Genomic DNA, 13,674 nt, shown 5'->3' on the forward strand with positions numbered 1-13,674 from the left:
GGGACGGGGCCTGTGTCTATACTGGCATCTTGCCAGGAACCTTCCCCTCCCCCTTTCATTGGCTATCAAATTCTGAAAATGTTTTCAGCCATGGGTGGCCCACATCTAGGAAAAACAAGGTCATAAATATTAAGATTGAGAGATGAGAATGGACAGGTAAGTAAGAATGAAAAGCTTCAGTGATTGTTTGAAGCTGGGAAGACTGGATTTCAGTACTGGGCTTATTTACCCCAAGAGTGCCTTTAGCAAAAGTCATGATTGTTTCTCTAAGAAATTTGGGTGAAATGGCCCTGGTAATGTACGTGACAGCAAACCCAAGGAAGTAAGGGCTGGGGTAAATTTAGGGTGACCAACTGTCCTTTTCGAAAAGTCTGTGGGCAAGGGGATCTCAGGATGCAGGACTTTCAGTATTAAAACCAGGAAAGTCGTGAACATGAATTGGTTACCCTAGCATAAATTATAGCATTGCTTCTGTGGTCTTTTATATATGAAATGAGATTTCATGCTACAGTGAATGTCCAGAGCTCTCTTCTCCACTGCCAGGGCACGCAGCATTCAGCCAGCAAAGAGTGAGAGCGTCTTTTCTTTTTGTGTGTGTGTTGTCACATCATCTACAAACTCTTACTCCAGTTGGATACAGTGTCAGTCAAGTTTCAGCTGTATTCTGAGATAGCTGTGGTAAATAGACATTCTTTAATTTATTTTTTCTAAAAATTATTAGGAATAATCTTTTAAAGCTGGGAGGGTCTTAAGTATATCCTTTGAGATGCACAATCCATGAAGCTTGTGTCGCTTTTATAGATGGAGTTTTCGATAAATTAGAAGCTCTTAAATGAAAATTACAAGTTTCTTTTTTTAAAGTCATAAAGGATTAGATACAGTTGGAAGCAATTTCAAAAGAATTGTTTGATTAGAGAGTTGCCAAGGATTTAAATGAAGGTGGAAGCCTCAAAGTATACCTTCTAGTGTTGTGTTTGCCATTTGGCCTGAGTCACTAGGTGACTCAGTGTTCCCCTCAGTGGAACAAAAGCACTTAACAAACCTACTCATTAAGGTGGTGATTTTTCCCCTAATTATGACTGTGGGTCCCAGTATTAATAGCATAGGAGTAATAAGGCTTTTATTTGGGTAGATGAGACTGGCATTTATGTATTTCCTAGACATTGTCCCAGTCTTTTATGGGAATTTATCCTGGGAAGCCCCCTTCAAACTCCACTTTTTATTATTTTGCTTGACTCTGAAACCTCCTTTAGGCAACATAGTCAGGATCAACCAAAACTGCTCAGGAATGTCCTCAGAGATGGCAAACGGGAAGAGAGAATGGCCACTTAGCCTTCCTCATTAGGCCTTACAGCCACACTTCTGCTTTTTATCCTCTATATTGTTGTGTTTATATTTGGATTTAAAACTCCAAATGTATCACTGATGTTTTCATCCTCACCTCTAATTGCATTTTGTAGTTATTATTTTGCAATGTCCTAAGGTTTTGTGACTTATTCACCTTCAGTCAGTTGTTGCTGTGAAAACCCCAAGAGTTGTTCTTGAGTTTATTTTTTCCTGACTTGACTCATCCAGTTCATTAGCATGTCCTATTGTCTTTTCCTAGAACATTCTGAATCTGTTGTCTGCTTATCGTCTCCTCCCCTGTCTCTGTAGTTCAAGTCACTGTTAACTCCTGCATGACTTACTGCAACAGCTTCCTGACTGGCCTTCTGCTGCCATTCTTGTTTCCCCTTTAGTTCTTCCTCTTTCCTATGAAACTGCCAGTCAGATTAGATTATTGATTCTTTTGAATTTGCTACACAGACAATAATATAATCTGTGAACAAACATACTCTAATTGTTTCCTTCTCTATTTGTATACCTTTTGTTTTCTTTTCCTGTCTTACTGTGTCAGCCAGGTCTTCCAATATGATACTGAAAAGGAATGTTGAGAGGAGACATCCTTGTCTTTTTCTTACTCTGAGCAGAAAAGTTTCTAGTTTCATACCGCTAAGTATGATATTTGCTGCAGGTTTCCTTACACATTCTTTATATGTTGAGGAAGTTCTTCTCTATTTCTAGTTTACTGAGAATTTTTTATCATGAATGGGTATCACATTTTGTCAAATGTTTTTCTGTACCTATTGGTATGATCATATTTTTTTTCTTTGTAGCTTGTTGGTGTGATAGATTATATTAGTTGATTTTTGTATGTTGAATCAGTTTTTTATACCTGTGATAAATCTCACTTGGTCGTGGTGTAATTCTTTTTATACATTGTTACATTCAATTTGCTAATATTTTGATGTGGATTTTTGCATCTATGCTTATGAGAGAATACTGGTCTTTAGTTTTCCTTTTTGTAAGGTCTGTCTGGGCAATGCTGGCCGCAAAGAATGAGTTTGGAAGTATTCCCTGTGTTACCTTCTAGTAAAGAATGTTAAGAATTAGTATAATTTCTTCCTTAAATGTTTGGTAGAACTCAACAGTGAACATATTTGGGCCTGGCGCTTTGGAAACATGTTAATTATTGATTCAATTTCTTTAATAGAGATAGGCCTATTCATATTATTCATTTCTTCTTGTAAGAGTTTTGGCAGATTTTATTTCTCAAGGAATTGGTTCATTTTTTATAGGTTTTCAGATTTTTGGGTAAATAACTATTGACATCATTTTAAAATTATCCTTTTAATGTCCATGGGATCTGTAGTGATGTCATCTCTTTCATTTCTGACATTAGTAATATGTTTCTTGTCTCTTTTTTCTTAGTCTGCCTAGAGGTTTATCAATTTTATTGATCTTTTAAAAGAACCAACTTTTGCTTTCATTAAGTTTCTTTATTAGTTTTCTGTTTTTTATCTCATCGAGGTGCATTAACTTTTATTGTTTCTTTTCTTCTGCTTTGGATTAATTTGTTCTTTTTCTTTAATTTCACAAAGTAGAAGCTTAGCTTATTGATTTTAGATCTTTCTTCTTCTAATATAAGCAGAATGCTATATTAATGCTATACATTTGTGGCATTTAATGCTATAAATTCTCCTCTAAGCAGTGCTAATGTTGCTTCCAACAAATTTTGGTAAGTTGTGTTTTCACTTTCATTTAGTTCCTTTTTTTTAAGATTTTTTTGACCCACAGATTATTAGAAGTATATTGTTCTATCTCCAAGTATTTGGGAATTTTCCAACTATCTTTCTGTTATTATTTTCTAGTTTAATTCCATTCTGGACTGAGGTCAAATATTTTTTAAAAAAATGTTTCAGACAAATAAAAATTCAGGGAATTTGTTGCTAGTAGACGTGTATTGCAGGAAATTTGTCAGAAGAAGAATGATATAGATCAGAAACTCAGATCTACATAAAGAAAGGAAGAGATTTTGAGATGGAATAAGTGAAGGTAAAATAAAAACCATTATTTTTCTTACCCTTAATTGATAGAAGAGATAACAATTTATTCACAATAATAACAACAATGTATTCAATTATGTACGCCACATATGTGTGTGTGTGTGTGTGTGTGTGTGTGTGTGTGTTTGTGTGTACCTATGTATGCTTATTTGTAAGTGAAAGTAATGATAACATTCTCTTAAATTTGGTAATACGTGTTTTATCGCCCAGAATGTGGTCTGTTTTGGGGAATGCTCCATGTGAGCTTGATACTAGTGTGTATTCTGCTGTTGTTGAATGAAATAGTCTATGTATGTCAGTTATATTCAATTGACTGATGGTATTGCTCAGTTCAACTATGTCCTTAATGATTTTCTGCCTGCTGTATCTGTCGTTTTCTGATAGAGGGATGTTGACATCTCCAGTTATAGTAGTGGATTTGTCTGTTTTTCCTTGCAGTTCTATCAGTTTTTGCCTTATACATTTTGATGCTCTACTATTAGGTGCATACTGTTATATCTTCTGGGAGAATTTACCACTTTATCATTATGTACTACCCCTTTTTCTCTGTGATAATTTATCTTTGCTCTGAAATCTGCTCTGTCTGAAATTAATATAGGCACTCCAGCTTTCTTTAGATTAATGTTAGCATAGTATATCTGTCTTCTTTGTTTCTTTAAGTTTAATCTGTGTGTTTCTTTGTATTTGAATTGAGTTTCTTGTAGATAGCATATGCCTTGTTTTTTATCTATTCTGATAATCTCTTATTTTTTAATGTGTGTATTTAGACCATGGGCATTTAAAGTGATTATTGATACACTTGGATTAATATCTACCATATTTGTTAATGTTTTCTATATTTTGTCTTGTTTTTTCCCCTGTTTTTGTCTTCCACTCTTTTTCTGCTTTTATAGTTTTGAGTATTTCATGATTTCATTTCATCTCCTTTCTTAGCATATCAATTACATATGTATTTTTTTACTTTTTAAGTAGTGACCTAGAGGTTGCAGTATACATTTACAGCTGTTCCAAGTCCACTTTCAAATAACACTATACTGTTACACAGATAGTGCAAGTACAGTAAAATAAAATATTCCTAATTTTTTTCTCTCATCTCTTATACTCATTGCTATCATTAATTTCACTTACAAATAAGCATAGATAGGCACACATACATATATATATATGTGGCATACATAATTGAATACATTGTTGTTATTATTGTGAATAAATTGTTATCTCTTCTATCAATTAAGGGTAAGAAAAATAATGGTTTTTATTTTACCTTCACTTATTCCTTCTCAAAGTCTCTTCCTTTCTTTATGCAGATCTGAGTTTCTGATCTATATCATTTTTCTTCTGACAAATTTCTTGCAATACAAGTCTACTAGCAACAAATTCCCTGAATTTTTATTTGTCTGAAACATTTTTTTAAAAAATCCTTTCTTTCTTTCTTTTTGTTTTTTTGAGACAGAGTTTCACTCTGTCTCCCAGGCTGGAGTGCAGTGGCGTGATCTTGGCTCACTGCAACCTCCGCCTCCCGGGTTCAAGCGATTTTCCTGCTTCAGCTTCCCAAGTAGCTGGGATTACAGGTGTGTGCCACTGCGCCCACCTGATTTTTGTATTTTTAGTATAGACAGGGTTTTACCATGTTGGTCAGGCTGGTCTTGAACTACTGACCTCAAGCGATTCACCTGCCTTGGTCTCCCAAAGTGCTTGGATTACAGACATGAGCCACCACACCTGGTCTGTTTCTCCTTTACTTTTAAAGGGTAGTTTTGTAGGATCCACAATTCTAGGTTGCTGTTTTTTTTTCCTCTCAACACCTTAAGTATTTCACTTCACTTTTGTATTGCTTGCCTCGTTTCTGAGGAAACGTCAGATAGCTTTTTTTTTGCTCCGTTATAGATAAGCTGTTTTTTCCTTCTGGCTTTTTCAATATTCTTTATCTTTGACTTTCTGCAGTTTGAATATAATATGCCTAAGTGTAGGTTTTTTTCCTGAGCTTCCCGAGTCTCTAGTTTGGTGTCTAACATTAATTTAAGAATATTCTTAGTTATTATTGCTTCTAATTTTCTTCTGTTCCTTTCCCTCTTTCTTCGCCTTCTGTTATTCCATTATACATATATTACACCTATTGCAGTTGTCCCATAGTTCTGTTTTTTTTTTTTTTTCAGTCTTTTTTCTCTTTGCTTTTCAGTTTTGGAAGTTTCTCTTAATATATCCTCATGCTCAGAGATCTTTCATCTGCCTTGCCCAGTTCTCTAATGAGCCCATTAAAGGCATTCTTCATTTGTGTTACAGTGTTATTGATTTCCAGCATTTTGTTTTTGATTCTTTCTTAGAATTTCCATCCCTCTGCTTACGTTCCCCATCAGTTCTTGCATGTCGTCTACGTTGTCCTTTAGGGTCCTTAGAATAGTAATCATAGTTTCAAAAACATTTCTGATAATTAATTTCTGCCATTTCTGACTCTGGGTCTGATTTTTGCTCAGTTTTTTCAAATTGTGTTTTTTTGCCATTTAGAAGGCCTTGTACTTTTTTCTTGATAGGCAGATGGGATGCACTGGATAAGAGGAACTGCAGTAATAATGTGGTGGTAAGGTATGTTGGGAGGGGAAGCATTCTATAATCTTATGGTTAAGCCTCAGTCTTTTAGTGAGTTTATGCCTGTGAATTGTGAACCTCACAAGTGCTTCTCATTTTCTTTTTTCTCATTCTTAGTTCCAATAGGATGGCTAGCAGGGGCTAGGAGTTCTAGGTGGCATTGAAGTATGTTCATGCCACTACACTCCAGCCTGGATGACAAGTGAGACCCTGTCTCCTGAGAAAATAAATAAATAAATAAATAAATAAAGTCGCTATTTTTTCCCTTCCTTCTGCCAGAAGCATGAGAAGATGTTTTTGGATCTTCACTGTGAGAACCTGTTAGAGCTTTTGGAGATAAAACTCACAAAAGTGTGGGAGTTCCCTAAGATGGAGCTCCCCTGGACTTTTTAACTCTCAGTCCCGTCTACGTTGAATCTCCAGCAATTCAGTAGTTACAGTTACGGTTTTTCTATCCTGGAACTGGTTCCCATGTGTGTTTCTGCTTCTTGTTTTTTACTCTGATAAATTGTCATCTCTGTTTCCAGTGTGTCTCTCTCTCCAGAGTGAGGAATGACAAAATTACATCTCATTGAAAGCCACTGCTCTTGGTTTTATAATATCTTTACATCTTTGATTTACCACAATGTAACTTTGAATGTTGTACCACTTTTCCTTCCATCCTCTTTTGTGCTTTTTCATGTGTTTTACGTCTGCATATGTTATAAACCTCAGAATACATTGTTATTATTTTGGATTTAAAAAGGCATTTATTCTTTCATGATATTTGTTACTTATGTTACTTTTTATTCCTTTGAGCAGATCTAAATTCCTTCTGACATTATTTTTCTTTTGCCTGTAGAATTTCATAACTATTCTTATAGTGTAAATCTACTGAATATAAATTGTTTCATTTTCTTTCTGAAAAGTCTTTATTTCACTTTTATTTTGGAAAGGGTGTTCACTATGTATAGAATAGTAGATTGACAGTTTTTTCCTTTAGTATTTTGTCACCAGTTGTCTTCTGAGTTTTATAACTTCTGATGAGAAGTCTGCTGTCATTCTAATCTTTGTCCCTCTGTATTTAATGTCTCTTTTTCTGACTGCCTTTAACCTTTCCACTTTATTACTGATTTTAAGACATTTCATTATGACATGCTTTAGTTTAGTCTTATATCTTTTTTTGCTTAGAATTCGTTGAGCTTATTGGATCTCTGGGTTTATAGTTTTCATGAAATTTGGTGAATTTTGGCCATTGTTTCTATAAAAATGTGTGTGTTTTTGTCACTCTTTCTTCCCTAGAATTCAAATTAAATTTTCATTAAATGGCTTAATATTGTCCTGGCTGTCACTCATGCCCTTTCATATTTTTGTAGTCTTTTTTGTTTAGCCACTTTATTTTGCATAGTTTTTATTTTTCATGTGTTCTAGTTCACTGATCTTTTCTTCTGCAGTTTGTAAATTGCTGTTCATCTCACTTAGTGTGAGTTTTGTTTCAGATACTGCATGTTTAACCTTTAGAAGCTTCACTTATATATATATATGAAAGGGCAGATATGTACATTTAGAAGAAAAGAGAGATGTGACTACCTCGCATATTTTGTGTGTGTGTATGTATCTTTCATTTCTCTGTTACTTTTTGAATGGATGTTGGGTATTGCACATCGTATTTGTTGGGTGCCTGATTTTGTTATATACTTTTACATACTTTTGGCTTTTGCTCTAATGAATAATTAAATTACTAAGAAGTTGGATCCTTTTTTTTTTTAAATTTTGAGATGGAGTTTCACTCTCGTTTCCCAGGCTGCAGTGCAATGGCGCAATCTCGGCTCACTGCAACCTCTGCCTCCTGTGTTCAAGCAATTCTCCTGCCTCAGCCTCCTGAGTAGCTGGGATTACAAGCACCTGCCACCATGCCCAGCGAATTTTTGTATTTTTAGTAGAGACAGGGTTTCACCATGTTGGCCAGGCTGGTCTCGAACTCCTGACCTCAGGTAATCCACCCACTTCGGCCTCCCAAAGTACTGAGATTCCAGGCATGAGCCACTGTGCCTGGCCAGAAGTTGGATCCTTTTGAGGCTTAGTTTTAAGCCTTGCTAGGTGGGACTAGAGCAGCCTTTAACCTAGGACTCATTTAGCCCTACTTCTGCAGTGATGCTTTCCTAAGGATTTTCTAGTATCTCATGTAGTGGGAGCCATTTTGGCTGCTGGGATCATAGAATACTCCTGGCTGTGTGTGAAATCTGAAATTGGTTCCACCTGCTGCATTCTGGTGCTTCTTTTTTTGGCCCTTGGGAAATTTTTATTCATACATGCACAGGTCAGTGCTCTTCCAAATACTTGAGGGAACCTTCCTGCAGTCTGTTTGCTGTCTCTCTGTATAGCTGTTTCTGTTCCAGCATTCTGCCTTTCGAGGCCCTGTGGCCTTGGCCTCCCTATACTCCAGTCTTTGTCTTCTCAACTTGGCAAGAAAGAAACAGAGACTCTGGGTTTTGACTTCCTCTTCTCTATTCTGTGGCATTGAAACTGTTTCCATGGAGTAAGTTAGGGCAATTGTAGGCATCTCTCACCTATTTTGTTTCTCTTCTCCATGGGATTATATCTTGCTGAAACCTTTGATTCATATTTTTGGCTTGTTTTGTAGTTGTTTAAGACAGAAGGGTAAATCTTGTCACTGTTACTTCACAATATTCATAAGCAGAAATCCTGTCTTAATATCTTGCATTTCTTTTCTATGTTTAGAGATGATATTGTAGGTTGTTTTTGCTGATACATAAGGGGCCTGGTGGCATTTGCCTCTTGGTTTAAGTCATTATCTTTTTTGGTATCTTGATAAAAATCTTGTGTTGCCTGTATAGGATGCCATTGCTGGAAACATTACAACTCTCTTTTTTTGTAATAGAGGAAGTCATGTCCTGAGCAGAGGTTGTATAGATTTTGCCTGACTTGTGGTATCATTTCTTAGGATATATAACAACTTGGTCATTGGTTTTTCTCCCACTGCTTGTGGTTTTAGGAATATTCTTCAACTGATGAATTCACCACCTACTTCATTCTTGGGTTGTGAATCCCTACACTTGAGTTCTGTTCTAAGAGCCAAACATGCAACATGCTGAGTTGGTTGGTTTATTGCCTGGAAAATTGTTAGGGCAAAATTGATACTTTGATTATGGAGGGAAAGAGGCAGATTTTTCAGATGAAAGGTGTGCAACTCCAAATTCTGGTTTATTCTAAAGATAAGGGTAGAAGTAGATGTGTCATGAGAAAGTGAAAGAAGCTCAATTCATATATAGTGAATTTTATAGTGGGTGGGCATAATAGGACCACAAATAAGTAGAGTGACCCTATATCTCATTTGCTGAGGACAGTCCTGGTTTATACTTGTTGTTCTGGAATAATTGTTAATAGCATCCCCTTTCACTCTTCAAAGTGTCATACTTTGTATGATAGAATATATACATATTTAGTTATATACATATGATTATATATATCTACTTATATATACTTGCATATGTATAAGTATATATAAGTATATCATATTTATTGTATACTTATATTTATATTATTATACTTGTTATGTATCTACATATATATAATGTCTACTTATAAGTAGATACGCATATAATGGAATATATATATATGTAGTCACCTACTTATAAGGGATTGATTAAAGAATACAAGGTAAGTATTGATTCCTTGGTTATTGTTATTTCTTGGAAGATAGATTTACTGTTTACTTTGTGTTTTAGTTAAATAATATATAGTATATACTGACTAATAAATATGGTTTTATACATTTCTGGTGTTTTTCCTGTAGATGATCTCAATGCCACCCACCAACACTGTGTTTTGGCCGGTTCACAACCTCGGTTTAGTTCCACCCACCGAGTGGCAGAGGTAAGTGTAAATAAAAATGTGATTCACACCTAATTGGATGTGACAGAAGTGGTTGAATGAGCAATTTACTATAGAGCTTTGGAAGAGTATTTGATGGGAAAATTGCTTCCATCTAACTTGACTTTCGTCTCTGTTTACTTGCTTTTTGAGCTTTGGATTGTGTTGGATACAGTTTTAGAAAGCATATTCATGCCATGGGATAAGTGTGTTTTGCTTCTTGGGGTTATGTTTCTTGGAGAAGGAAAATGCCGTTGACAAGTGTTTATAGTTAGAGGTTTATTTAGAGGGTTGTATCTGTCAAGGTCAAGGGCAGGAGATGACCAGAAGAATTGGGGCAGATTTTTATGCTTGTGCATGTGTTAGCTGTGGCTGGGTTCAGATGTTGAGAATTTTCATTTCCCTTAACTTTTTGGTCAGACTTCTGGGCATGTGAATGTAAAGAGAAAGTTACAGGGTTGCCAAGGAGTTTCTGAGCTCCACAGTTGTGTTCATAACCCAGACTTTATTGCTAAATTCTGCCACCACTTGCAATGGCCCATGGTTAGCTGTTCAGACTAGTTCAGAATGGAAAACTAAGAAATGAGAAAAACTCATATTAGTCATGTTGGGGTCCCATGTACTCAGTTAAGAGGGGTTCCAGAGAGCAAGGCATGAAAGGGATTACAAGTGACCTTCTACCTAAGCTTGCTATCCATGCTTTGCTTTATAGCTTGACCTTTCATGGAACTACAGGGGACAAGTGTGAGAAAATTGGGCGGAAGTGGTACAACAAAGTGAGAGGTACAGGTGCAAGGTCTTCCAGTGGCAGTACTGCGTGAGTCTATACGGCAGTGTTGTGTCTTTTGGTCATTAAGTAGCTTTACCAGTGGAACGATCATATTGCTGTGTGGCAGAGAGAGAATGAATGAGTATTTAAACCAAGATGCCAGCAAGCCCATCCAGCACCTCTTTCTTCCTTTCTCCCCTTTCTTCTCTTTTCCATTCACTCATTCATTTAAATATTTGAGTGCCTGTTATGTGTCCAAAACTGTAGGCCTGGGAGATAGAGCCGTCAACATGCCCATGATGCCCACCACTTTTGTGAACTTTAGTTGGGGGGGACAAATTTTAAACAAATAAACACAGAAATAATTGTCTTAGAGACCTAAAGGGAGTTCTGTTAGAAAAGAGGGAAGCGAGGGAGGAAGGTAGGTAAGGACGAACAGAGGAAGAAAAGAAGGGAGGGAGGGAGGAAGGAAGAGAGGGAGGGAGGAAGGGAGGAGCAAGTATTTATAGAGCATCTAATATGTGCCTTGTATTATACACAAGGATTTCATTTCCCCAGTTATAGGCATCTGTCTTTCTAGCTATAACCCTCCTAAGAATCCCTTTCTTGTGGATCACTTGAGTATATGGCTACTTAAGTGCGCCCTTCTACGTCTTTCCTAATCTAATCCAGAAGAGTGGACAGTCTCATTAGTGCTGGGTTCAAAGGGCTGTACAAAATGATAAATAAAAAGCTTGGGAAATATGTTCATGGGGATAAGAATCGTACCTAATCGTAGTGTTCTTATGAGGATTAAATTAGTTAATACATGTAAGTCTTTTTAGAACAGTGACTGGTATACATTCAAAGAAGTTTGCCACTACTATTATTAAATTACTTCTACTGCTACTACTGTCTTTTCATTTTATTCTGTTGAAAAACTAATAGGAGATGGGAACAACTAAAGTTCACTGTGTGGAAGGTTATTCTGTCTTCATTTGTACACTACAGTGTACATAATAAAGCAAGAGAGATTAAATCATCAGCAAGTTTTGATTGTAGGAACTACTATTCAGAAGGGATTTCAGTTTGTTCTCTCTTCAAACTTTTATTGAACTTTATAGTGTTCAAGGTATTCTTGTAGGGACTTGTGAACAGGAATGGTTATATTCAGTGTCTTCAAGATGCTTATGGTCTAAAGAGTATGTACAGTGCAGAATAGAATGTAGCAGATAGCCCGGCTAAATTTTGTATTTTTAATGGAGATGGGGCTTTGCCATATTGGCCAGGCTGGTCTTGAACTCCTGACCTCAGTCGATCCACCCACCTCGGCCTCCCAAAGTGCTGGGATTACAGGCGTGAGCCAATGCTCCCGGCCTAGATTTTAGTTTTTGATAATTGTGTCAGAATATTCTTGGGATTCAATACAGAATGTCTTTTTAAAGAAATTTACATTTTATGAATAATTATATTTTGAATAGGTAGTTAATGCAAATGGTTCAAAATTAAAAAAAATACCTAAAGGTATACAGTTAAAGTCTCTTTCTCCTCAGGCCAACCAGCCCCTCATTCCCAGAGGCAACCAATGTTTAAAGGTTCTTGTTACTCTTTTGGTGATATTTAATATATAAGTAAAAATGTATGTAATTTCAAAAATATTTTTAAATATAAATGGTAGCCTACTATATATATGGTTCTGTAGTTTTGTTTCAGTAAACTTTGGTAATAATTACTCATCAATATATAGCACTTAGCGAGGAGTAGGTAATGGCTTTTTAGATATGACATCAAAAGCATAAACAACTGAAGAAAAAAACAGATAAATTGGCCTTCATCAAAGTTAAAAACTTTTGTACTTCAAAGGGTACCATAAAGAAAGTGTAGAGGACCCATGGAATGGGAGAAAATATCTGCAAATCATATATCTCATAAAGCACTTGTGTCTCAAATATTCCAAGAATTCTTAGAACTCAATAATTCAAAAGAGAAATGATCCAATTTAAAATGGCAAAGGAATCGAATTAACATGTCACAGGCTGGGTGCAGTGGCTCATGCCTGTAATCCCAGCACTTTAGGAGGCCGAGGTGAGTGGATCACTTGAGGCCAGGAGTTCAAGACCAGCCTGGCCAACATGGTAAAACCCCGTCTTTACTAAAAATTCAAAAATTAGCCAGGTGTGGTGCCACATGCCTGTAATCCCAGCTATTCAGCAGGCTGAGGCAGGAGAATCGCTTAAACCTGGGAGGTGGAGGTTGCAGTGAGGCAAGATTGCACCACTGCACTCCAGCCTGAGCAATAGAGCAAGACTCCGTCTTCACACACACACAAAAAGAAGGTATACAAATGGCCAATAGACAAATGAAAAATGCTGAACGTCATTAGTCACTAGGGAAATACAAATCAAAACCACGACGGGATAACATTTCACACTCACTAGGATAGCTAGAATAAAAAAGACAGTGACAAGTGTTGGTGAGGACATGCAGGAAGTGGCACCCATGTGCACTGCCAGAGGGAATGGACAGTGGTGCAGCCACTTTGGGAAACAGTCTGGCACATCTTCAGAAGGTTAAATCCAAAGGTACCCTATGACACAGCAATTCCATGCCTAGGTAGTTTCCCAAGAGTGATGGAAACTTCTACAGGAATGTTCATAATCACCAAAAAGTGGAAACAACCCAAAGGTTCATCACTTAATGAATGGATAAATAAAACGTGGCATATCCATACAGTTGAATATTATTGGGCATTGAAATGGAATACAGTAATGATGCATGCTACAACATGAATAACTCTTGAAAACATACGAAATGGAAGCAACCAGTCACAAAAGATACATATTATATAATTCATTTATATGAAGTGTCTAGAATAGGTCTCTCTATGGACATAGAAAGTAGATTAGTGGTTGCCTAGGGTTGGAAATGTTGGTAGAAATCAGTTGGGGTTGGGGGTGACTGCCAAATGGCACAGGGTTTCTTTTTGGGGTGATGAAAATGCTCTAAAATTAATTGTAGTGATATTTGTATAACTCTGTGACTATACGAAACAACATTGCATTATATGCTTTAAATGCTTGA

General features: G+C 36.4%; 1 protein-coding gene across 25 annotated transcripts in view; it reads left to right on the forward strand.

Annotated features, from left to right (window-relative positions):
- Positions 1-13,674, forward strand: part of FTO (FTO alpha-ketoglutarate dependent dioxygenase) — a 417,979-nt gene that overhangs the window by 160,055 nt on the left and 244,250 nt on the right. For 23 of the 25 annotated variants that reach the window (XM_047434606.1, XM_011523314.4, XM_011523316.4 and 20 more), the window contains one exon: positions 9,769-9,848. The exons of 1 other annotated variant lie outside the window; for it this stretch is intronic. In XM_047434606.1, coding sequence (XP_047290562.1) covers positions 9,769-9,848 — 80 coding nt within the window. Of the gene's footprint in view, positions 1-9,768; positions 9,849-13,674 lie in introns of those variants that run through there. One more of the 25 variants, XR_007064911.1, reaches the window with a different exon arrangement.

This window comes from Homo sapiens, chromosome 16 (genome assembly GCF_000001405.40).
Source record: "Homo sapiens chromosome 16, GRCh38.p14 Primary Assembly".
NCBI classification, from domain to species: Eukaryota; Metazoa; Chordata; class Mammalia; order Primates; family Hominidae; genus Homo; species Homo sapiens.